The sequence below is a fragment of the Homo sapiens genome, chromosome 6 (assembly GCF_000001405.40).
Source record: "Homo sapiens chromosome 6, GRCh38.p14 Primary Assembly".
In the NCBI taxonomy this organism is placed as follows: Eukaryota; Metazoa; Chordata; class Mammalia; order Primates; family Hominidae; genus Homo; species Homo sapiens.
In genome coordinates this window covers 151,842,130-151,869,190 of record NC_000006.12, presented here as the reverse complement: position 1 = coordinate 151,869,190, position 27,061 = coordinate 151,842,130, and the positions used below count along the sequence as shown (strand labels likewise).

General features: G+C 38.6%; 1 protein-coding gene across 31 annotated transcripts in view; it reads right to left on the bottom strand.

Moving 5' to 3' along the window:
• ESR1 (estrogen receptor 1) overlaps window positions 1–27,061 on the bottom strand; it is a 472,948-nt gene that overhangs the window by 260,429 nt on the left and 185,458 nt on the right. For 30 of the 31 annotated variants that reach the window (XM_047418290.1, XM_017010377.2, NM_001385568.1 and 27 more), the window contains one exon: window positions 26,404–26,594. In XM_047418290.1, coding sequence (XP_047274246.1) covers window positions 26,404–26,594 — 191 coding nt within the window. Of the gene's footprint in view, window positions 1–26,397; window positions 26,595–27,061 lie in introns of all 31 variants that reach the window. The other variant, NM_001291230.2, reaches the window with a different exon arrangement.

The following is a 27,061-nucleotide window of genomic DNA, read 5'->3' as shown; positions in this document are numbered from 1 at the left end:
AAACAATTTCCAAACTGTTCTTGTCCTAAGCTGAAGAAGCAAGGAAGAGGAAAATGATCTCGCAATCAGAGCAAGAGGGTAAAACTCAGAACCCTGAACAGGACTGTGCTTACTGCCCTGCCTTCCCAGACTCATAAATAAGTCCATTTTCCATCTTCCAATTTCTGGGCCATTTTGGTGCTTTGGGAGAAAATAGAAAAGACGGTTCACTAAGCTCTGGTGTGGGGGTGGAATATGCATGTCTCTCAAGCTGTCACACCTGAACGTTCCCTTGTACACTTTCGACCCTCTAAGTGCTTAATAAGGGGTTTCACTCATCTTCAGGAGTCCCCCCAAATTAACTTCGTAGGAGAAGTTCCTCCCAGGTATCCTGATAAGAGTAATGAAAATAAATTGTTCTATTGAAAAGACACATGCACCCATATGGTCATCAGAACACTACTCAAAATAGCAAAGACATGGAATCAACCCAATTGCCCATCAGTTATCCTAGATAAAGAATATATGGTATATCTACACCACGGAATACTACACAGCCATAAAAAAGAATGAAATCGTGTCATTTGCAGCAACGTGGATGCAGCTGGAGGTCTATCTAAGCAAACTAACATAGAAACAGAAAACCAAATACCATGTGTTCTCACTTATAAGTGGGAGCTAAATATTTGGTACACATGAACATAAAGACAGAAACAATAGACACTGGTGATAACTAGAAGTGGGAAGGAGGAACAGGGGCAAGGACTGAAAAACTATCTATTGGGGCCAGGCACAGTGGCTGACGCCTGTAATCCCACCACTTTGGGAGGCCGAGGTGGGCAGATCACCTGAGGTCAGGAGTTCAAAACCAGCCTGGCCAATATGGTAAAACCCCATCTCTACTAAAAATACAAAAATTAGCCGGGCATGGTGGTGTACGCCTGTAGTCCCAGCTACTTGGGAGGCTGAGGCAGGAGAATTGCTGGAATCTGGGAGGCGGAGGTTGCATTGAGCCGAGATCAAGCCATTGCACTCTAGCCTGGGTGACAGAGCGAGACTCCATCTCAAAAAACAAACAAACAAAAAAAAACAAAGAAAACAAAAAACTATCATTGGGTACAAAAAACTATCATTGGGTACTATGCTCATTACCTGAGTGACAGATTCATCCATATGCCAGACCTCAGCATCACTCAATATACCTTTGTAACAAACCTGCATATGTACCCCTGATTTTTAAAATAAAAGTTGAAAAATAAATAATATGCAAAAATAAAAAAGGATTAATGAACAAACACTTGGGTGCTTCTGAATCAATGTCAAAGGGTTCCTGTAGTACAAGATTAACACACGAATTCAGTCATCCCTGTTTTTAAAATTGGTTTAAGTCCACCTCAGAATAAGAAAACAAACTAAAAGACAGCCCGTCAGACCTAGAAATAACTACTAATTGTAGGTCCTTGAGGAATCGCCACACTGTCTTCCACAATGGTTGAACTAATTTACACTCCCACCAACAGTGTAAAAACGTTCCTATTTCCCCACATCCTCTCTAGCATCTGTTGTTTCCTGACTTCTTAATGATTGCCATTCTAACTGGTGTGAGATAGTATGTCATTGTGGTTTTGATTTGCATTTCTCTTGACCAGTGATGATGAGCTTTTTTTCATATGCTTGTTGGCAGCATATTTATGTTGTTGGCAGTGTAAATGTCTTCTTTTGAGAACTGTCTGTTCATATCCTTCACCCACTTTTTGATGGGGTTGTTTGTGTGTGTGTGTGTGTGTGTGTGTGTGTAAATTTGTTGAAGTTCCTTCTACATTCTGGATATTAGCCCTTTGTTAGATGGATAGATTGCAAAAATTTTCTCCCATTCTGTAGGTTGCCTGTTCACTCTGATGATAGTTTCTTTTGCTGTGCAGTTGTTCTTTAGTTTAATTAGATCCCATTTGTCAATTATAGCTTTTGTTGCCATTGCTTTTGGTATTTTAGTCATGAACTCTTTGCCCATGCCTATGTCCTGAATTGTATTGCCTAGGTTTTCTTCTAGGGTTTTTATGGTTTTAGGTCTTACATTTAAGTCTTTAATCCATCTTGAGTTAATTTTCTTATAAGGTGTAAGGAAGGGGTCCAGTTTCAGTTTTCTGCATATGGCTAGTCAGTTTTCCCAACACCATTTATTAAATAGGGAATCCTTTCCCCATTGCTTGTTTTGTCAGGTTTATCAAAGATCAGAGGGTTGTACATGTGTAGCATTATTTCTGAGGCCTCTGATCTGTTCCAGTGGTCTAGATATCTGTTTTGGTACCAGTACCATGCTGTTTTGGTTACTGTAGCCTTCTAGTATTTGACCCAGCCATCCCATTACTGGGTATATACCCAAAGGATTATAAATCATTCTATTCTAAAAACACACGCACACGTATGTTTACTGCAGCACTATTCACAATAGCAAAGACTTGAAACCAACCCAAATGCCCATCAATGATAGACTGGATAAAGAAAATGTGGCACATATACACCATGGAATACTATGCAGCCATAAAAAAGGATGCAATCATGTCCTTTATAGGGACATGGATGAAGCTGGAAACCATCATTCTCAGCAAACTAACACAGGAACAGAAAACCAAACACTGCATGTTCTCGCTCATAAGTGGGAGCTGAACAATGAGAATACATGGACACAGGGAGGGGAACATCACACACTGGGGCCTGTCAGGGGGTGGGGGGCTAGGGAAGGGATAGCATTAGAAGAAATACCTAATTTAGATGACAGGTTGATGGGTGCAGCAAACCACCATGGCACGTGTATACCTACGTAACTAACCTGCACATGTATCCCCAAACGTAAAGTATAATAAGCAAAAAAAAAGAAATAACTACTAGTCTACTTTCTTAGCTTAAATAACAATTTCTCCTAACAAATAAAAATAAATGAATGAATAAAACCTTTACAGGATGGTTGTTTAATAGAACAAATACAATCTATGCATAAGAAGAAATGTTCTATATTTATTTGCATGGTAAATTTAACTCAAACTAGCGTAGATGATCTGGAGCATTTCATAGTTCTTATGGTTGGGCACAGCTTCTTCGTTATTTGCTGCTTTGGCCCTGCACTCAGACAAAGAACTGTGTGAATATTAGACATTCAGTAAACAAAAGCAGGAGTGGTTTTAAGGTCTACACCACCTGGGCACCCACACAGCTCAAGTCGCAATGGTCATACTGCGCTGGCAGGAGAGTTATCTCAGATAGGATGCGCCCCACATCAGAAAGCAGAGTTCTCATTTCTCAAGGGTGTTTGGCTTCTCAAGCTGCATTCCATCCACATCCCATTCTAGCTGATGAGAAAAGAGAGCCCGGAAAAATCTAGCATCTCCGTTTCCTCCCCTCTCCAGAGCTAGCCTCAGGAAAGAAAACAATCCAGCTGTGTGGCCTAAACATGCTACTTAACATCCACAGGCCACACCCAGGTCCTCATCGGTGAAAGGAAAGAGATGTATCTGTTGTTCGTTAGTGCCCATTCAGTTCTAAACTTCAATTATTCTCTTTTCTCACTCACCTGAGGTCTATGTCTCCTTGTCGTCTGGCTTCTTGATGTCCCAGATTGGTGATCTTTTTACTGCTTTCAAAGAGTTTACCTAAATGTTGTAGCAGCTGCACTAAATTGCAGGAATATGGGCCTGTTTAGGGAATGTTAGCTGTTTGAGTCCCAAGCTCCATGCGATCCTGGGTGAAGCCCAGGTTACCCTTCTGGGATTCTTGATATGTCCGTTGATGACTGCTATACAACCCAATGAAACAATATATGCAAACCCTTTGTCAACTGCAAAACTTTGTGCCAATAAAAGGTATTATTACTCCATACTATGGACTAATATACAGCCATTAAAAATGAATGAGTGAGACCAATATGTACTTATATGGAAAGATCTCCAATACACATTATTCGATGAGAAAAGCTAGGCACAGAATAATGTGTAGAGCATAAGGTAATGTATGTTAACAAAATATCTATGTGTGGGGTGTGTGTGTGTGTACATATGTAATTTTCAGAAGAAATTGTTAATAGTGTTTACCTATTGAGAAAGGGACTGTAGATTTTTTAAATATTTTTTATTATACTTTAAGTTCTAGGGTACATGTGCACAATGTGCAGGTTTGTTACATATGTATACATGTGCCATGTTGGTGTGCTGCACCCATTAACTCATCATTTACATTAGTTATATCTCCTAATGCTATCCCTCCCCCCTCCCCCCACCCCACAACAGGCCCCAGTGTGTAATGTTCCCCACCCTGTGTCCAAGTGTTCTTATTGTTCAATTCCCACCTATGAGTGAGAACATGCAGTGTTTGGTTTTTTGTCCTTGCAATAGTTTGCTGAGAATGATGGTTTCCAGCTTCATCCATGTCCCTACAAAGTATATGAACTCATCCTTTTTTATGGCTGCATAGTATTCCATGGTGTATATGTGCCACATTTTCTTAATCTAGCCTATTGTTGTTGGATATTTAGGTTGGTTCCAAGTCTTTGCTATTGTGAATAGTGCCGCAATAAACATACGTGTGCATGTGTCTTTATAGCAGCATGATTTATAATCCTTTGGGTATATACCCAGTAATGGGATGGCTGGGTCAAATGGTATTTCTAGTTGTAGATCCCTGAGGAATCGCCACACTGTCTTCCACAATGGTTGAACCAGTTTACAGTCCCACCAACAGTGTAAAAGTGTTCCTATTTCTCCACATCCTCTCCAGCACCTGTCGTTTCCTGACTTTCTAATGATCACCATTCTAACTGGTGTGAGATGGTATCTCATTGTGGTTTTGATTTGCATTTCTCTGATGGCCAATGATGATGAGCATTTTTTCATGTGTCTGTTGGCTGCATAAATGTCTTCTTTTGAGAAGTGTCTGTTCATATCCTTCACCCACTTGTTGATGGGGTTCCTTTTTTCTTGTAAATTTGTTTGAGTTCTTTGTAGATTCTGGATATTAGCCCTTTGTCAGATGAGTAGATTGCAAAAATTTTCTCCCATTCTGTAGGTTGCCTGTTCAGTCTGATGGTAGTTTCTTTTGCTGTGTTTTCAGTCTTCAGATACCCCAGCAAAGAACAGAAGCTCTTTAGTTTAATTAGATCCCATTTGTCAATTTTGGCTTTTGTTGCCATTGCTTTTGGTGTTTTAGACATGAAGTCCTTGCCCATGCCTATGTCCTGAATGGTATTGCCTAGGTTTTCTTCTAGGGTTTTTATGGTTTTAGTTCTAACATTTAAGTCTTTAATCCATCTTGAATTAATTTTTGTATAAGGTGTAAGGAAGTGATCCAGTTTCAGCTTTCTACATATGGCTAGCCAGTTTTCCCAGCACTATTTATTAAATAGGGAATCCTTTCCCCATTTCTTGTTTTTGTCACGTTTGTCAAAGATCAGATGGTTGTAGATGTGTGGTATTATTTCTGAGGGCTCTGTTCTGTTCCATTGGTCTATATCTCTGTTTTGGTACCAGTACCATCCTATTCAACATAGTGTTGGAAGTTCTGGACAGGGCAATTAGGCAGGAGAAAGAAATAAAGAGTATTCAATTAGCAAAAGAGGAAGTCAAATTGTCCCTGTTTGCAGATGACATGATTGTATATCTAGAAAACTCCATCGTCTCAGCCCAAAATCTCCTTAAGCTGATAAGCAACTTCAGCAAAGTCTCAGGATACAAAATCAATGTGCAAAAATCATAAGCATTCTATACACCAATAACAGACAAACAGAGAGCCAAATCATGAGTGAAGTCCCATTCACAATTGCTTCAATGAGAATAAAATACCTAGGAATCCACCTTACAAGGGATGTGAAGGACCTCTTCAAGGAGAACCACAAAACCACTGCTCAATGAAATAAAAGAGGACACAGACAAATGGAAGAACATTCCACGCTCATGGATAGGAAGAATCAATATCGTGAAAATGGCCATACTGCCCAAGGTAATTTATAGATTCAATGCCATCCCCATCAAGCTACCAATGACTTTCATCACAGAATTTTAAAGTTCATATGGAACCAAAAAAGAGCCCGCATTGCCAAGTCAATCCTAAGCCAAAAGAACAAAGCTGGAGGCACCACGCTACCTGACTTCAAACTATACTACAAGAGACTGTAGATTTTTGAATGAGACCAGAGAAAGACTTTAACCTTTCATCATGTACAATGTTGTACTGCTTAACATTTAATCTTGTGTATTCATTTGCTGTTTTTTTTTAATAATCCATAAAGAAGAACTGTATACTTTAAAAATTTCAAGCCGACACCAGCCTGGCATCTACAATCTTCTTTTCTTTTCTCGTTCTGCTACCATCCCATCCTGTGGTTATTTCCCTACAACTCACAGACTAAGCAATAAACTTCACCACTAGAACCTTGTTAAGCAAGAGAAAACTACTACAGTTCTTTCACACAGAATAGGAAAAAGGCTAAGTGTGAGCTGTGTTTTCAGTCTTCAGATACCCCAGCAAAGAACAAGCAGCAGGTACCCAAACCGCAGGTGAACACCGCAGTCTGTTTCTGGTCTGATAGTCACAAATGTATTTGTAACTCTCCTCCCCAAGCTGGGCCAATTGCCCTTGGCTTTCAGCTCACCCAAACCTTTAGTCCTACAGGGCCTTGGTCTCCTCTCCAAATAAGAGGACGGAATTGTCCTTAACCTTCATGCTACACCTGGTAGGATATAAGGAGACACACAGGAGCATCCTAGTTTCTATCCATTGCATGGTAACAGCCCCATTTACCCTTGGCAACCAGGACTAACTCCAGCCAACTCTGTGGCCCCCATCTGTTGCCTGTTAACCTAGTGGGATGAGGAGCCAGCTATTATCAGGTGACACTCCTCACTTCCAATGGCCTTTCTGGAAGCACTCCTTTCCCTTGGAGAAGGCAACAGAACACAATGGTTAAGAGTCAGGCTTTGCAGTCGTACTAGTCAGATTCAACACTGGTTTTGTTTCTTACATACCTTGGTTTCCTCATCTGAAAAGTGAGATTAATTACAATGCTGACTGCTTCAAATTTTATGGAGGATTAAATGAGATGATGCATTCAGGACACGTAACATAGAGCCTGGAGCAGGGCAAGTATTCATTACACATTAACTATTATTATTAGATATTAAATCTCCAAACCAACAGAGCTCAAATTTGTAAGGACAGCATCTAAACCACAATACCCTCAAACCAGTTTATAATAACATCATTTTCTCAGTAAACAATCCATTTTTACCCTTAAGTAATTTTCTTCACATCATATAACTTGTTAGGCTACATTTATGCAGTCCATTGTAAATCATGCAAAACACTTGGTCCTACGCAAAAAATCCACTCCAGTCAGCATAAGGCTAATTGTCAGGGCTGAAACTATTCTAATGCTGGAAAAAGCAGGCAAAAAAAAAAGTGTAAGAATAAGAGCCATTTACTCAAGCCTCTGAACAAAATACATTCAAACACCTTTTTAAACAACCAAGAATTACAGTCTAAACTGTCCAGGAATGTGGGGAAGTCATAACATGCCTCTTCCTGAGACCCTAACCCAGATGAACAACTCACTTCTGGGCTTTGCAGTGAACGTGGTCACCTCTGCTGCCCGGCAGGTTAAAGGACAATGCTCATCTACAGTTTGAAGTGAGCCCAAAATGATTAAGCCAATCTGCGGAACAGAAAAGTACTCTGATTCCTGATTCATGCTACCTGAATTGTCCTCATTGCTTACAAATGAGAACAGGGAAGAGGAACTGTATTTTATTTAACAGAATATATTTCAAGAAGCATTCAATTTGATATAATTACCTTTTTGCAATCTATTCTCCTTCTACTGATTAATAATTTGGTGCCATTCCAAACTCCATTTTCAGGTAGCAATTATAAAGGTTATTATGAAATTTAGCTTTTTAAAATTTACTACAAAATGCTTGGCTTGTTTGGAAGCAGGGCCCCATTCTTCGGGAGTGTTCTCATGGAAAGAGACATAGCAGGCTGAATGGAAAATGCAGACTTACCCAGCCATGAGAGAAAGGATATTTTAATAATTTATACATCCAACCAAATTTAATTTAAAGTTGTTTACCTTTAATTCCATACTGTGCAAACTAAATACCACCTTTGTTATTTTTTAAAGTATATTTTAAGTCAGGGAAGGCCAGTTAAAAACACAAAAAAGGGCAATGTAGCAATCAAAGATTGCTAAGAAACTGTATATTTGAGCCCAAGGATACATGACCTCCGCTATCTAAAGCTTCGTGTTCATGAGGTTTAAAAAAACAAGAACAAAGCTTAGGTAAGAGGTAGAAATCCACAGGGAAGTTTTTAAATGTTCTGATCTCTTCTTTTGATTTTATAGCAGAAATGGTAACACATCATATAACTGGCTATGCTACATTTATACAGTCAATTGTAAATCATGCAAAATACTTGGCCCTATTTTCAGGTGCTGGCTATGAGAAAGAAATTTGTGTCTAAGAAGTAAGGTGCATGTTTCTTTTTGTGTCCAGCTTGTTTCACTTAACATAATGTCATCCAGGTTCATCCATGTTGTTGCAAATGGCAGGATGTCCTTTTTGAAAGCTGAATAATATCCCATTGTGTATGTGTGCATGTATATACATATGTACATGTGTGTATGTCTGTGTGTTTGTATATACACACATATATATCACACAATTATATATACATATATCACTCCCTCTATATATATCACACACACTATATACCTATATCCCACAATTTCAGGCATGGAATAGTGGAGAAAATAGAGAGGTATTGGTCAAAGGGTACAAAGTTGCAGTTATGTAGCATGAACAAGTCTAGAAATCTAATGTACAACATGATGACTATGTTTAACAATACTGTATTATACACTGGAAATTTGCTAAGAGAGATTTCAGGTGCTCTCACTCCATGCCCCCCAAAAATGATAACTAGGTGAGGAGATTGATGTTAATTAGCTTGACTGCAGTAATCATTTCATTATGTATATGTATATCAAAACATCTTGTACACCTTAAATATATACAATTTTATTTTTGAAATAATTAAAAATAATAAAGAGAAAAGTAAAGAAAGAAGAGGTAAAAGTGGATTTAGAAGCACAATAATTAAATGTTAAATTATTTTCTCTGCTTAGTCTCAGAGCAGAAAGATATCTATAGGGAATGGGATAGAGCCAACAAGAGGTAATGATGCCAATGATTCTTTACAGAGCACCTGTAGGTTAAGCATGAACTCTAATCACTACATCTATCCAGCAAGGTAGGAACCAGGGTGCCATTCACAATTGAGGAAATGGAAGTTCAGAGACATCAAACATAGTAGACATCAGCATCAGGGAGGGAGGTAGTGATTGGCTCACAATGATTTCACAGGGCGAGCCCCAGGGATCACCTCTGTACATGTTACTGCCTCCTGAGAACAGCTAGTTGGTCCAGAGGTGTGTCCCAAAGCTGGGCCAAGCAGAGTCCTTCTCTAATATTTGCTAACTGCAAGAATGCCACAGGAAGTCAACCCTGGCAGCTGTTGCCAACTCTGCTTCCCACCTTAGGGAAAATGCATACTTGCAGACAGAGAACGCGAAGCTGACACATGGAGAAGAGTGGCGGTAAGGCTAAGGTCCTCACAGGGTCTGAGTCCCTGGGTCTGTGATCACTAAGGTCTGGTTGCACCCTGCCATGTTTGCAGTTAGCCAAGACACGCAAGTAAACCTTCCATTGAAATCCATTCCTCTCTTTTACCCCCACCTCTACCCAAAGCTAGTTTGAATTGGATTTTGCTCACTCAAAACTAAAAGCCTTAACTAATATGTGAAATAATTTTTCTAAGACTAAACAGATAAATCGTAACTATTTTTCTATGGTGACATAATAATTTGTATAAAAATTTGATCTATAATTTGTAAAGCAAGTTCTCATGTAATAACCATTTTTATTAGCTACATGTTACAAATTGTGATAAAATATGATCTGGATTAAAAATTCAAAAATACATTGAAGGTAAAGAATAGGCATGCTATCTTGCATACAAGACATGAAAAAAATAAGGGAAAGAAAGGAAAAAGGAAAAGTTATTGAACATGAAGTCCTGTTTTTCTGACCCTTCCATATCTACTGCCATATTGGCAGGTACAAAGCAGATAGCTGCACAGTGACTACTCCTGTAGTTTTTCTTAGAAGAATGCTACTGTAACCTTACCCATAGCCTTTTAATAACAGTTCACCCCACTTAACTGGTAACTGAAACAAAGCCAATTATAAAGAAGGGAACAGCCTCTACTAAATCTTACAGAAGTAAATTGGTCTCCTCTGTTATTTCTTGGTAAATGATTCAGTCTTTAATTTCTACTCTTTTCATTTCAAATATACTATTAAGTATTTAAATAACCTCATACTGCACACTCTAAATCACAGTGATCCCTAATCCAGGTATAGTTCTAAGCAAAAGAGGAGTCCTAAACAAGATTGCACCAGACCAGTAATGATTGTTGTCTTGTTTCTAATTAAACAAAGCTAAACTCCTCAGGGAAAAAAAAATGAAGCAATGGAAAGTACTATTTTAATTCACAGATAAAATGCTTTAAAAAAAAAAAAAAAAACAGGAACGGATCCAAAGGCAGGGTAATGGGTCAGGACACATTCAAACAATCAAAGTGAGGGTCAGGCACTGTTTCCAGGCTGATGAGTCAGTGTATCTAGTCTATGTGTGTAGCATGCTCTTCACATGTGTGTAGACCTCATGGCTAGTATATGTGCAACTGCAATCAGTGACAGATCACAACCCAAAAAGGCTAGCTCTTCCTCTCTGGAATATAGAGCTAGGGTTAATAATCACTGGCTGCGTGACTGAAATATTTTACCCTTGCTGGTCAGGCCAGCAGCTGTAAAGACCTAGATTCCTGGTGGTACTCTATTATCAACACAGGCTTTCCTCTGCTATGATTTCTCAACAACCCAAAGGAATAATATTGTATTGGCCTCAGCTACCTGATGTCCACCTGACACAATTTCTCTTGGGCTCATGGATAATGAACGAAAGCTGAACTTGAGTGCAAATTTGACCTCTTGCAAACAGACAGTCAAAATGATTTGCAAATAAAGTGTAAAGATTTGGTAAATACAGAATAATCTTTCTGTACTGAGGGAAGAGTAAAAAAAAGTTAGTATATAATTAATCAATTGCAGCATGGATTTTTTAATGAAGTTTTTATTACAGAAGTAAAAGATGTTTACTGTGGAAAAATAAAAATACAGATATGCAAAAAGAACAAAATTTATCCATAATCCTATCATTCAGAGATAGTCACTGTTAATATTTTGTAGTACACATTTCAAAAGTCTATACCCATTGCAACTGGGTGTGGTAGCTCACATCTGTAATCCCAGCACTTTGGGAGACCGAGGCAGGCAAATCACTTGAGGTCAGGAGTTCGAGACTAGCATGGCCAACATGGTGAAACCCTGCCTCTACTAAAACTACAAAAATTAGCCAGGCATGGTGGCAGGCGCCTGTAATCCCAGCTACTAGGGAGGCTGAAGCAGGAGAATCACTTGAACCCGGGAGGCAGAGGTTGCAATGAGGCAAGTTTGCGCCACTGCACTCCAGCTTGGGCGACAGAGCGAGACTTGGTCTCGAATTAAAAAAAAGAAAAAAAAGTATATACACATTGGTGTGTGTGTGTGTGTGGGTGGGTGGGTGTGTTTGTGTGTGTGGGTGTGTTTATGAAGATATATATATACAGTGGCCCCTCAGGATCTGTGGGGGATTTGTTCGAAGACTCCTCAGACACCAAAATCTATAGATGTTTAAGTCCCTTATATAAAATGACATAATATTTGCATATAACCTACGCACATCATCCCATATAGCTTAAAACATCTCTAGATTATTTATAATACCTAATACAATGTACATTCTCTGTAAACAGTTGTTATATTGCTTAGGGAATAATGACAAGGAAAATCTCTGTATGTGTTCAGCACAGACACTACCATCCATTTTTTTCCAAATAGTTTTGATTTGCAGTCGGTTGAATCCATGGATGTTGAACCCACAAACATGGAGGGTGGACTGTACTTATGTATGGACTTATGTACGTGTGCAGCCATATATGAATACACACGCACACACAAAGTGTTTACAAGAAACTCTTGAATCAAACTTTTTATCTTGCCTTATATTCAGAAACAAAGTAGCCACCAAAAAAGCATTTTATAAGCAATAAATGTTACCCAGAGCCCTTCATGGTAGGGCAAAAATGTATCTTCAATCAGGAAGTTTGACACTGATGCCCTTACTTGGTCCAGTAAGGAGATGTGGGAACAAAATCAGAAAAAAAGAAGGGTACTTCATCCCCAAAGTTATGCTAGCACACACCTTGCTCTTCCAGCTCCTCCCCGGGATTTACAGAAAGTCAGGAGAAATGCAGTCAGAACAGGTGGCAGAGTGAAAGAAGCCCATTTCTGGGACCTAGATTCATATTTTGCTATTATCTCATGTGTTTACACCAAGTGCATCAATAGTACCAACCTTAAGAAAAAGTATTATATAGGGAGAAAGAAGGCGAGAGGAACTGAATCTTCCAAACACGTTGTATATAATTGATAAAAGCTGGCCAAAGCATTTTCTTCCTTCTCTGAGATCAGTTTTACTGCCACAATTTTAAAAATTCAAGAGTGTATCTAAGTGTATCATCTACTAATTGTTCATGTTGTGGAAAAGTTTATGTCAACTCTTAGAAGCAAAAGTCTCTAGCCATTTTTAAAAACATCCTTTCATAAATATCCCATAGAAGTAAAGCCAGAGGAAGAAAATCAAGAAAGTTGCAAACATAAAAATTATGGCGTATAAGCTAAGCCTACCTTAATAAATTGTAGCTTGGGACTAGTTGTTTCCCTTCATATCATAATAAAAAGTATCAAATACACTTACCTCCATAATAGCTACATTATCTATACCTACATTATCTATTGCTCCTCTTTAGGAGCATCTTTAGATTTTATTAATATCACTCCCATGTCAAACTTCAAAAGTAAGTTAAAATAGTACATCACTCACATCCTAGAAACAAAATATTATTCAATCTCTGGATGCAAAATAGATTTACTGCTAATGATGGTGAAACATATATATAAGAAATATGTTCGAATATATTACAAATAGTTTTTTTAAACCCACACTATTCTATTAGGTTGGTGCAAAAGTAATTGCGATTTTGCCATAAAAATACACAGTTATCACACATGCAGAATTGAGCATGCAATGACTAACGACAAATCACAGGCCACTTACAATTAAGTAGAACTCTCTTCATGGTTCTGTGGAAAGGTATCTATTGAAACACCACCTCCTCCATAAAGTCTTTGAGTTTAATCTAGAGCATTCTGTTTTCTCTTGCCTCTGAACTCATACCATTTTTTTCTGAAATACCCCTTTTTCCCATTATGCTGCTTTGAGGCATCACTTATAGTGCTGAATTTAACTCTTCTATTGTTTAATGTGCATTATCACAACCTTTCACCTTGTGTATAAGCAGAACCCTTAGCTGGATTTCAGGGTCTATGGATGATATATCTTTGCATTTCTCCTAGAGCTAAAATAAAATAGTCATTCAATACATATCTGTTACATTTTATTTTAAGTTTAAGTCTCTGAGCTCAACAAGTTAACCCTCTCTAGGGAAGAGAATGTGAAGAACTTCAACAGGGAGGTCTCTAGGTGTGGACAGAGTACAAATGTGCTATGAAGAGTGAAACAGGGAGAAATGAAAAATGAAGTGAAGAGAGCAAAAATGGGGCTGGCCTGCAGGCACTTGTAGAATAGGAAGAGTAATCAGCATGCTAGCAATCAGAAAACAAACAAAATAAAATAAAGAGAAAAACCATCTCCATGGTGATTATAATATACCATCATGGCTTAACTGGTTAATAGTGGTGGCAAAATATACTTTTAAATTATTTTAAAACGAGCCAGGCACAGTGGCTCACGCCTGTAATCCCAGCACTTTGGGAGGCCAAGGCAGGAGGACCACTTGAGGTCAGGAGTTAGAGACTAGTGTGCCCAACACAGTGAAACCCCGTCTCCACCAAAAATACAAAAATTAGTTGGGTGTGGTGGCCCATGCCTGTGGTCCCAGCTACTCTGGAGGCTGAGGCAGGAGAATCGCTTGAACCTGGGAGGCAGAGGTTGCAATGAGCCAAGATCGCACCACTGCACTCCAACCTGGGCAACAGAGAAAGACTGCGTCTCTAAATAAATAAATAAATATCATTTTAAAACGAAATCCCTTATTAGTAACTCTGAGGTGTCAAAAGCACAAAATAATTAGGAATTTATACTATTTTATGAACTATAATTTATCTTTTATGATGTATAAGGAAAAATATTGTGCACAGCACTTAATGAAATGCCCTAAAGTGATGCAGGCATTCTTTTAAATCATTGCACTTAATACAAAAGTTCATATTTATAAACATAATCTAGCCACCCAACCTTGGGTGCTAATTTAGAAATTCTCTACTCATTCACTCTGTACTTCCTAATACATGATTTTGAAACTGCCACACTAATCAGAGAAAGATGATGCTTATTTGGATAAAATTGAAAGTCCACATACTCTTTCCCCAGGAAAACAGAGAGAACGAGTGCTTATTACAGAAATAAATTGTAATTTAATAATTAAGTTGTTTTGTCTTTGGTTCCTTCATTTCTTAGCAACTGAAAAACTGAAATGTCTTTTTATTTCCGCTAAAGGAAAATGGAAATATGAGGAAAATAATAGGAGTGCTTTCCCCACTATGTTCTTTTCTCAGGTAAGCCATATCTTTCGCTTAAAAAAAAATCAAATCTGCTCTCTAACCCACACGTAAGTGGAAAATTAACAGAGTAGCCAGAACAAGTTTTACAAAGTAAATGTTAGACTTATGAAATAGATTTTCCTTACATGTTGTTATTTTTCAGCCAAATAGCCAGGCAAGCAGGTTACAAGATAACCTATATAGTGCTGACATAGTGTAGTATATAGCTTAAAATTAGCAACCTACGTCTAAAATACTCATTTCTCTGAATGAGTATCAGAGATACAGACCATTCTCTTTAAAAGGATATAAAGCTACTGACAACAGTTCTCTATGAAAAAGAGAGAAATTTGGTGGAATTAGGCCACGAACCATGGTTGTAAGAACAGTGTCAGCACATAATTTTGAGGACGAGTTGATGCCTTTTGAAAATGTGCCCATTAAAACCTATCTATAATTTTTATGGGAAATTATTGCCACTGATAAACAAAGCTTTCTAATGGAATTGTTGATGAGCTTAACAACCATATGTGGGCACAAACTCTACTACTTTAATGGAAATAGTCAATGGCATGACCAGGACAGAACCACTTAGTAGGGAAATTGGAAATTTAATTTTGATCAGATGAACAAAAAATGAAGAAAAATGCTTGAAGTGGTAGCAGAAAAAACACCAGCGATTAAAAACATTTGGAACCTTTGCTTACCCTTCAAAGGCATTTGTTGCCATGGTTTTTCAAGACCTCTGAAAGCTTCAGCTGTGTCCACAAAAGCTGCCAAGAAATAGGGGTTCTATACTGATTTTATTTGTCAGAGGCATTTTTGTCTTAATTATCTCCAAGATAAAGATGACTTAGCCAAAGGGAGAGGAAAAAAGAAGAACTACTGTCATTTCACAGGTTGAAAGGCTGTGATTTAACTCTTCTGAGTTCTTCAAATATATGCGTGCATGTGTGCACAAACACATCTAAGTTTCACAGGATCGCATTAACCACTAACAAGCACTTAACACTGGGGATGTCATTCTTACATGGAATGAGGTTTTCAGGCCTTGACTTTCATGGTGTGTCTTTCTATTTCTCTGATGAGAAACAGTAGCCAAACACCTAGCAAATTTACCAATACCTGAAGTTAATGCCCGCCTTTCTTTCTCTTTCTTTCTTTTTCCTTCTTTCTTTCTTTCTCTTTTTTTTTTTTTTTTTTTTTTTTTTTTTGAGACGAGTCTCACTCTGTCGCCAGGCTGGAGTGCAGTGGTGCAATCTCGGCTCACTACAACCTCCACCTCTCGAGTTCAAGCCATTCTCCTGCCTCCACCTCCTGAGTAGCTGGGACTACAGGTGCACACCACCATGCCTAGCTAATTTTTGTATTTTTAGTAGAGACGGGGTTTCATCATGTTGGCCAGGATGGTCTCAATCTCTTGACCTCATGATCTGCCTGCCTCAGCCTCCCAAAGTGCTGGATTATAGGCATGAGCCACCGCACCCGGCCATGACTTTCTTTTAAAAAGTTTCATTGCAAAGGCTTTCACTTGAAAATTACATGACAGCTCATATGTGTACACACTAAAACTCTGCTGCCCTCAGCCTCCATAGTCATTTCTGTTGCACAGTATGTATGTTAACACATGATGGAGAGTAAAACACGTAAGTAGAAATAAGGGAAGGATTATGCAAGCTCTGGGTCCGAAAAGGAGGCTATGAACTGCCACAGTATAAATAATCTGCAAAAAAAAAAAAAAAAACACCTGCTTGGTTCTTGTTTGGACATCATAAAAATGCTTATATTTGTTTCTGCAGTTTACTATTTGTACAGCTTAATGTGCTGGTAGCAGGATGTTCTTTCTGAATTGTAAGCTCCCAGAGAGCTGCATTTGGCCCTGTAGGACTAATTTATCATTTTCCTGTTTAGAAGGGCTTTGCACATACACTTTTTATAATAAGAGTGTTTCTTACAAGGTTTGGTAAGATTCAGGGAATGCTTATATTATTATGAAAATCAAGAGGAAGGTTTTAGAGTTATTTCTCCATTATTAATAATGTGCAACCTTCAAGAAGTATTCAGACCATTCTTTTCATCAAGTTTCTTTAAAATTAATTGAGGAAATTAATTCAAATCCCCACCCCTGGAATATCCGCAGAGAGCTGATTCTGTTTCTGTGGCTGCTGGATAATTCCATCTGGACATCCAGCTATCATCTCAAATGCAGCATGTCTAGAATTGAACTTATCCTACCCCCTGATGACTGGCCTTCCTCTTGGTGACCAAGTCATTCATTTCTCAGTTCATTCAGTCTATGTCTGAACCTCTTTAACTCTTTTATCTCCTGGATAACCCATATTTAATTACCTTCAAGCAATGTATATCCTTTCATTATAATATCCTTTATTCTATTCCCCTTCTTTCCATTTCACAAATACCAAAAAGTACAGATTTTTAGTACATCTAAGCTAGTTGAATATCAGCCAAATTGGTCTTCACGCTTTGATTCTTTCCCTTCTCTGGTCCCTCCTATATACCTCTGCCAGATTAATCTGCATTAAAGACTCTTTCATCAGCCGGGTGCGGCGGCTCACGCCTGTAATCCCAGCACTTTGGGAGGCCAAGGCGGGTAGATCACCTGAGGTCAGGAGTTCAAGACCAGCCTGGCCAACATGGTGAAACCCCGTCTCTACTAAAAATATAAAAACTAGCCAGGCATGGTGGTGGACGCCTGTAATCCTAGCTACTCGGGAGGCTGAGGCAGGAGAATTGCTTGAACCCAGGAGACGGAGGTTGTTGTGAGCTGACACAATGCCACTGCACTGCAGCCTCAGTGACAGAGTGAGACTCTGTCTCAAAAAAAAAAAAAAACTCCTTCATCATACCTCTCCCATGTTGAAAAAGTATAATGTTTTTGTGTTGCTAAAGCCCACAAACTGATCCTAATTTCCATTTATTCTTTTATTTATTTATTGAGTGACTCTGAGAATATTGGGCCCTCACCTTTAAGGACTTTACAGTCAGTATGGGACAGAACATGGGCAATCAAATATATGCAATACAATGGAATAAACTAATATCGAGGTCCCAGGAGAGAGAGAATTTCTGCATTATCTTCAGGGGCTTAACAACAGTCACTTTTGATTAGGGTTCGAAGAATTTTTACAGGTAAATCTGGAAAGAAATTCCCAGCAAAGAAATGGAATCATCATATTTGTAGAAGAACAAGGAATTCACTGTGTCTGGAGTGCCTATTTCACAAGTAAAAATGGTGACTTTAAAATGACTAGAAAGATAGGCTAGAACAAGATTGTGGCAGTCCTTGAACTCTTGTTTAAGGACCATTCCATGGGCTATGGAGGTCATTAAAGGATCTTGTACTGCGTATTGACATGATCAGTGATTTGCTTTATGACCACTAATAGAGTGGCAATGTGCAGAATGTCTCGCAACAAGAAAAAAGACATAAGCAAACGGCTTAGATGAAGGAGAAGGCAAATGGAAACAATAAATTATTGCAAGCATCCTGGTGAAAGGTAATGCAGCTAACTCAGCAATGGTAAGTGGATGAAAATGCATTTAAGGAGATAGACTCAATAGAGCTATGCAACAGCTCTGGAAACGTCAGAGCCAGAGGCTGCAATAAGAAACAATGGAAATAACTAACTCCCCAGTTTGAAGTACGGATGCCGGAGGGAGTGGCAAGGGAACTGTCACACACAGCAGGCAGAAGGAGGGGCTGGTGGCAGAGGGAAACACAGGGGAGTCACTGAGAAAATCAGGCTGGGGCAGGAGCTAGGAGCAAGATTTGGGAGATATTGGTGCAGCTGTAACACTTTAGGCCCCAAATATTATGTTATTATATTAGTTTCCTAGGCACCAGCAATCTTTGGTGTTCCTTGCTTTGTAGATGTTTCTCTTCTGTCTCCTCTCTTTCTTTCTCCTTCTCTCTCTCTCTCTCCTCCCTCTCTCTCCTCCCTCTCTCTCCTCCCTCTCTCTCTTCTCTCTCTCTCTCTCTGTTATCATATGACATTCTCTTCTCTGTGTTTGTGTCCAAATTTTCTTCTTATTCTAAAGATATCAGTCACATTAGATTAAGGGCCCATATACTGAAGTATATACTGGAAGTATACTGTGGGTTACACCACAGTATAACTTCACCTTAACTAATTACACCTGGAATGACATTATTTCCAAATAAGGTCACATTCTGAGGCACTGAGCATTAGGACTTCAACATATCTTTCTGGGAGACACAATTCAGCCTGTACCAGACATATATATATAATTTTGTATATATATATAAAATTATATATATATAATTTTTTATATATATATAAAATTATATATATATAAAATTATATATATATATAATTTTGTATATATATACAAAATTATATATATATATATATATATATATATAATTCCCTAGGAAACTAGGTGGAAAGAGAAGGATGAAGAAGAAAAAGAAGCTGAGATTGAAGACAGGACCCTAGAGAATGCCCACTTTAGAGAGCTGAGGAGCAAAACAGAAGGAGAGGACAATAAGCCGTGTGTTCTCTCAAAGCTGGCTTACTCAATTTCTCAATACTGTTTCACATTTCTGGAATTTTCCTCCAAACTACCATTTATTTGCATGCTTATATCAAATGTACCACTTGCATTAACACTTCTCTTACCAACCTAACCCAGTGACATTTCTTCCTTCTCAGAGAGCCTCTAGCAGTTTTTATCTATCATTATTATTTTTTTTTTTTTGAGATGAAGTCTCACTCTGTCGCCCAGGCTGGAGTGCAGTGTCGCGATCTCAGCTCACTGCAACCTCCACCTCCCGAGTTCAAGCAATTATCCTGCCTCAGTCTCCTGAGTAGCTGGGATTACAGGCACATGCCATCACAACTGGCTAATTTTTGTATTTTTAGTAGAGACAGGGTTTCACCATGTTGGTCAGGCTGGTCTTGAACTCCTGACCTCGTGATCTGCCCATCTCAGCCTACCAAAGTGCTGGGATTATAGGCATGAGCCACCACATCCGGCTATCTATCATGACTCTGACCCTTCGCCATATTCTACTATTTAGTAGGGACGTGCCCAACATGACTAAAAGCACTGGAGCTATAGCAACAAACAATGCTGAACAGAAATCAGCTATCACTGAGTTTACATCCAAGTTTGCACGGTACCTGATGCAGACAGACAATAATCAAACAAATGAATAAATAGGAAAACTTCATAAGAATTTGAGAGCTGTAAAGAGAAGTAAGAGTAGTATTACTCGTGGAAGGGTAACACTACTTCTGAGAAAGTGACTTTGGGCAGAATCTGAATGACAAGAAACCAGCCAAGTAAAGATCTGGGTATTTCAAGCAAAGGGAAAAAGGGAACCACATGTGCTGAGATCCTGAGGAAGGAACATGTTGGCGTGTTGGGGGGAATAGCAAAAAATAAATAAAAATAAAAGCTGGTGTGCCTGGAGTACAGTGAATGGGGGAGAAGGAATAGGAGAGAGAATATGTCGAATGTTTTCAGCTGCAGAAGGAAAATTTTTCTCTTGAGAGTAAGATTTACACTGAGAGCTGTAAACTCAAGACCATAGGACCTGATTAATATATCTAAAATATCTCTCCTGCTGTTGCATGGAAACTGAATCGTATAAGAGCAAGTGTGGAAATACGGAGACCAAAGAGTTAGGATCCCAATTGTATCTCTGAAAAGATAAAACAGTTACATGATGGGCGGGCAGCCTCCACTTCTACCCCATTCTCTAACCTTTTCCAGACATAGGGGCATACATCAAGCCAGAAGGTGACCAGACACAACTATGAAAATAAATGTAAGAACCAATCCACTTTAAGTGAACAAGAGTGAGTCCCCAAGCCCAAAAGAACTAAGATCTCTTTTTTTTTTTAAATTTTTTTTTTTTATTATACTCTAAGTTTTAGTGTACATGTGCACATTGTGCAGGTTAGTTACATATGTATACATGTGCCATGCTGGTGCGCTGCACCCACTAACTCGTCATCTAGCATTAGGTATATCTCCCAATGCTATCCCTCCCCCCTCCCCCGACCCCACCACAGTCCCCAGAGTGTGATATTCCCCTTCCTGTGTCCAAGTGATCTCATTGTTCAATTCCCACCTATGAGTGAGAATATGCGGTGTTTGGTTTTTTGTTCTTGCGATAGTTTACTGAGAATGATGGTTTCCAATTTCATCCATGTCCCTACAAAGGACATGAACTCATCATTTTTTATGGCTGCATAGTATTCCATGGTGTATATGTGCCACATTTTCTTAATCCAGTCTATCATTGTTGGACATTTGGGTTGGTTCCAAGTCTTTGCTATTGTGAATAGTGCCGCAATAAACATACATGTGCATGTGTCTTTATAGCAGCATGATTTATAGTCCTTTGGGTATATACCCAGTAATGGGATAGCTGGGTCAAATGGTATTTCTAGTTCTAGATCCCTGAGGAATCGCCACACTGACTTCCACAATGGTTGAACTAGTTTACAGTCCCACCAACTAAAACCATAAAAACCCTAGAAGAAAACCTAGGAATTACCATTCAGGACATAGGCGTGGGCAAGGACTTCATGTCCAAAACACCAAAAGCAATGGCAACAAAAGCCAAAATTGACAAATGGGATCTAATTAAACTAAAGAGCTTCTGCACAGCAAAAGAAACTACCATCAGAGTGAACAGGCAACCTACAACATGGGAGAAAATTTTCGCAACCTACTCATCTGACAAAGGGCTAATATCCAGAATCTACAATGAACTCAAACAAATTTACAAGAAAAAAACAAACAACCCCATCAAAAAGTGGGCGAAGGACATGAACAGACACTTCTCAAAAGAAGACATTTATGCAGCCAAAAAACACATGAAGAAATGCTCATCATCACTGGCCATCAGAGAAATGCAAATCAAAACCACTATGAGATATCATCTCACACCAGTTAGAATGGCAATCATTAAAAAGTCAGGAAACAACAGGTGCTGGAGAGGATGTGGAGAAATAGGAACTCTTTTTAACAGAGCTCTACAAAGCAGATGAAGCCAGCTAAATGGGCTTGAGTTCTTTAGCAAATAAGTGCCTGCTTACCGGCCACAGCTGTTAAAGGAGCTATCCAGGGTGCTGGACTGTCTCACCCTGAAGCTTTCTAAGGCCTGGTGGATCAGGCTCTCAGTTATACCTGTAGGACCTAAGGTCCCCACTGCATTGACCCATAACCAGACTCTACCCTGATACCATGTCTTCCTGGCCAAAGATCATCTGTAAATCAATACTTGCCTGGGCTATGTCTGTCTGATCTGATGAGCAGCTTCTGTTGGCACCTTATAGAAATAATATAAAATGGCAACATAGCTAGTGGTGTATAGGTAGGCCTGAGCCCCCTCTACGCCACACAACCTTCTGAAATAATAATGAAAGAGAAGCAGTGAGCTCAGTGGAGTCCTTTTTCCTTGAAGTAATACTCAAAGGTAGTATCTGGCTGCTGAAGCTACAACCAGATCTGCTTATATAACTCATCCCAGGGACTCTGTCTAAAACACATCTTAAGGAACACTACTTCTATGCCTGCAATGATTAATAAACTCATAAAATATCCAATTTTGCCCCTTCTGACTTAAATAGCATCCTTCACTTTGCTTTTTAAAAAGAATGCGTTTCACTGGAGGCCATTACTCAATCTCTTAAGTAATCAAGTTTGTACACTAAGTAGTGGATGAAAATTTGTATGCTTTCAAGCCAAACACTTTACCTCTTCAACCAAAACACTTAGAACATGAGAATAATCTGATGTACACTCATTTCTAGCTCTCTTCTTAAGTAACAAGGAAAACAGGGAGAGCTGCGGCATCTTCAGAACTTCCCACCTACGTGTCAGACCCTTCACCATCCTTAAATGTGTTTGAGGGGCAGTGTGATTTATAAAGAGTCACAGACAATTTCAGCAAAAACTTTTTAGTTCCAAGTTATCAAGACTATGATGAGAAAGCAGAACTAGAAACCCTTAAACTTGTTGTGGTATTTCCCTTTTATACACACAAACAAATCAAATACATGGAAATGCTTTTAAAGTATAAAGGAAATCAATTACTTGGTTTTTACACAGTCTAGGATTAAATCCATGGCCCAGAAATGTCTTTGTTTAACAGTACATTAATTTTGTTAAATATTACGCATAGAATTCCCCGCGCTCTGCCTTTCCTCCTGGTCTTCACTCATGGACTCATTCACATGGCTAAACATGCATTCCCTCCTTCTTCACCATGCTCCCTTGACTCACCCTCCAGATTTAATCAGGAAACCTCTGATAGCCAGACTCAACCACCACCAGGACTGAGTGGAGTTTGGATCCTATAAGACACTGCCTTCACCTCTATCTTGACACCATCATCTAATTGCTGGTTTATCAGTCTGTATCCCCCTTTACCTCACAAGTTCTGTGAGGGTAGGGACCAGGTTTTTCTATCATTGCATTTCCAGGGTCTTGCATAGGGCTTTGTTAGTAAAGCTAGTCAATGAATAAGTGAATGAATGAAGAACTGAATAATTTTAAGGTTCCTCCCTATATCTAAAAGTTAATAACTCTGCCTTCTTTCTAGGCTTCTTCCAGAACTTTGGACTCAATATTTATCCCATTTTAAAAGCCTAAGATAAGTGACTTCACACTATGATACACAAGAAGTTTCTGAAACCAAGTGGAATTGCATTTTTATAGGCTACTGTTTCAGTAAAATTCTACTAGCTGGTCTGCGTATACAAGACGGCGATAAGAGGTTTTTGTTAGTGGTGGTGGTGTTGTTTTGTTTGTTTTTTGAGATGGAGTCTCACTCTGTCACCAGGCTGGACGGCAGTGGCATGATCTCAGCTCACTGCAACCTCTGCCTCCCAGGTTCAAGCAATTATCCTGCCTCAGCCTCCCAAGTAGCTGGGACTACAGGTGTGCACCACCACGCTCAGCTAATTTTCATATTTTTAGTAGAGATGGGGTTTCACCATGTTGGCCAGGATGGTCTCGATCTCCTGACCTTGTGATCCACTCGCCTCAGCCTCCCAAACTGCTGGGGTTACAGGCCTGAGCCACCACGCCAGCTGAGATACTTGTTTTTAACTATCAAAGAGTAAGCAGACATTTTTCAAAATGTTTGAACTTGAGATAATGCCATACCAATGAAACATCTCACACTGTATTCGTTGATTTTTAGAAATATATTTTCCTTCTGTTTTTTCTGTTCTTAATGCTTAGAGACAATACTAAATGTTATGGGAATTTATATAATTTTATCTTAAATGCTGAACAAAAATGATGTAAAAAATTTGTGAGAATATTGCCATTGTTTCTCGGAGGAAGATCATTTCCACTTTCAATCTTAATAATTTTAATTTATAACTGGTATTTTCATTTCTTACATCTCTCTATTGTTTTCCTTATCTTTCTCATACAGGTAACACTTTATCAATACTGACTTACTTTCTGATTGTATCATGAGAACAAGTACATTTACTTCCTCAAATAAATTTCCTAAATACATTTTAAATTTTGTGGTATTATGGATTATGTCTTACACTTTTTTTTTATTTCTCTCGGAACATCTAATCAGGTATAGAGTAAGTTCTCAGTAAAATGTGAATAATCAAAACTTTAGATTTAAAAATCCCCTATTCCCTTCCATAAATAAAGGTATTTAGATCAGATAAATAAACATTAAATCAGGGATCGGCCACGGGCCAGGGCTGATCTGTTACCTATTCTGATAAATAAAGTTTTATTAGCACATAATCACTTCCATGTGTTTACAGGTCACCTTACAGGCTATAATCCAGTTCGGTAGCTGCAACAGAGACTGCATGGCCCTTGTAAAGCCTAAAATATTATTATCTGGCCCTTTACAGAAAAACTTTGCCAACCACTGCTTCAAATCATTTTTACTGATGAGGAAACAGTCTCAGCTCAATCCATCCAGTTGTGCAGTTAGACCTATCTACTAACCATACCTCTGTCAGACGCTCTTTCACTGCCAAATTAAATGCTTGGTAAAAACAATGGTATTTTAGATTATATAAAATCAAATAAACAGTAAAACCACAAATTAAGAGAGTTGTCAAAACACCTCTAAGGGCTTATACTAACCTAAATCAAAATATAAATGTCATTTTTTTCTGAATTAAAATAGCATCATCTAATAAAATTAAATAGCCTGTGTGCATATATATATTTATATATGTTTAGAAAAATAATAAATATATTAACTTACATTTAGAATTTATTTCTATATATATACACACACAAAGATTACTATTGAGAATATCATTAATTGTATAAAAATACCAACAAAAAAGTCCATGTGTCTCACAGCAGAGTTCTAAAAGATGTTAAAAGCAATGTGTCGAAGAAAATGCTTTTAAAATAGACCATGTTGACCTCACATGCTACTCGATTAAGATATGAACAGCTTTTAAAAAAAAAAAAAAAGTCCCACTGGCAACGGAAGGAAAAATAAATACTATATACCATCCCCCAGCTTTCATCTCATATCAGGGCAGGAAAGAGCTATCACAGAAAGTCCATGAGAATCACTTCTTCAATCAGTGTTTATTAACTTAGCGGACTCTGGTTTTCAACAAGTTACTTAAATCTGGGTTTTTGTAGAAGGAATCACATGAAAACTCCATCAGAAATATTCTTAGTGTTTATACTAACCTTCACTTAAGCTGAAAAGGTAAAGAATAAGAAGAGAGAAAAATGCCCCACACTTAAGATAAAAAATGAATTTGGTTAGCCTAAGCTGCTGTCAGATCTCTGTTCCTATCAGATAAAGGATATTCAGCATAGGTATTTTAGGTAGTAAAAATGATTAGTGTTTCCCCAGGGTATCCTATTATAATGCAATAATAGAGACATTTCTGGAGTAGAAATAAAGTATAGCTCTCCGTATATTAGCTATAATTGGCAAACTATAGACAAGAAAACAATGGAGGCAGGCGGGAAAATGAAATGCTACAGGTAGATACTTAATAACTGTTTGATAAAGATGATATCTCCCCATTACAAGACACCAACCACTGAGTCAGCTCATAGCAAAATATCCTGTCATCCATTGAGACAAGAAAGAGATGGAAGAGAGAAAGGGGAGAACAAGCTAAACTAGAACAAAACAGAATATTTGCCTGGACAAGGCCTGAGTAGAGAGATAATTATGCATGGACAATTAACAGCATATACCAGATCATATAGGCAAAGTTGCCTACCAAACATGAATGTCCATCTGGCATTCCCCAGTCAGGGCACAGACAACATTTCTTTTTTCCTCAGAGATCCAGCTAGTGGAATTCTTCTGTAGAGTTGCTCAAGACTGATTGAGTCTTGCCAAAGGAAGGAAGCGGAATTACTCAGCCTCAGCTGCCCTGCCATGTGTCAACTCCTTCTCCTGAGATCCTGTCTCTTCTCCATGTTTCTACCAAAGATACTAGTGGACCTACTAGGGATTCATGTTTTGTACAAATGGCTGATTCTATGTCTTCCTTCCTCAGTCGCTTTGGCTCTTAGGATCTGCTCATAGGATCAAAAATAGAAGTCGTTTTCAACACACTATTACCTTGAATACTTCTCTTGAAGAAGGCCTTGCAGCCCTCACAGGACCAGACTCCATAATGGTAGCCTGAAGCATAGTCATTGCACACTGCACAGTAGCGAGTCTCCTTGGCAGATTCCATAGCCATACTTCCCTTGTCATTGGTACTGGCCAATCTTTCTCTGCCACCCTGGCGTCGATTATCTGAATTTGGCCTGGGGGGAAAAAAACAGTAAATCCATTAACATTAGAAAAGCAAAACATGCACTCTCTGGGAGATGCAGCAGATCCACTTTATCCTGACATTTTGAAATAATGAATCATAATGTAAGCTAATCTTTCATTACCTCTTGCCGTCTGTTGCAGCAAAAGGTGTTGCCTATTATATTAACCTTGAGGGGAAATTGTTTATTGCAAACTTGTTTTAAAAACATACTACCTGCACCAGAATATGTTACCTATAAAAATGACAAAATGAAATTAGCTGGTTTCTAATAGACTTAATGTTTTTGCAGGAATATACAATTATTTCAGAACCATTAGAGACCAATGCTCATCCCAACTCTAGACCACACTCAGGGTCTCTGGGAAACAGAGACAAAGCATAAAACAGCTGGGACATTTGGAACTCAGATGAACTGATGGACAACACAGAACATGTGTCAAAAAAATAACAATTCAA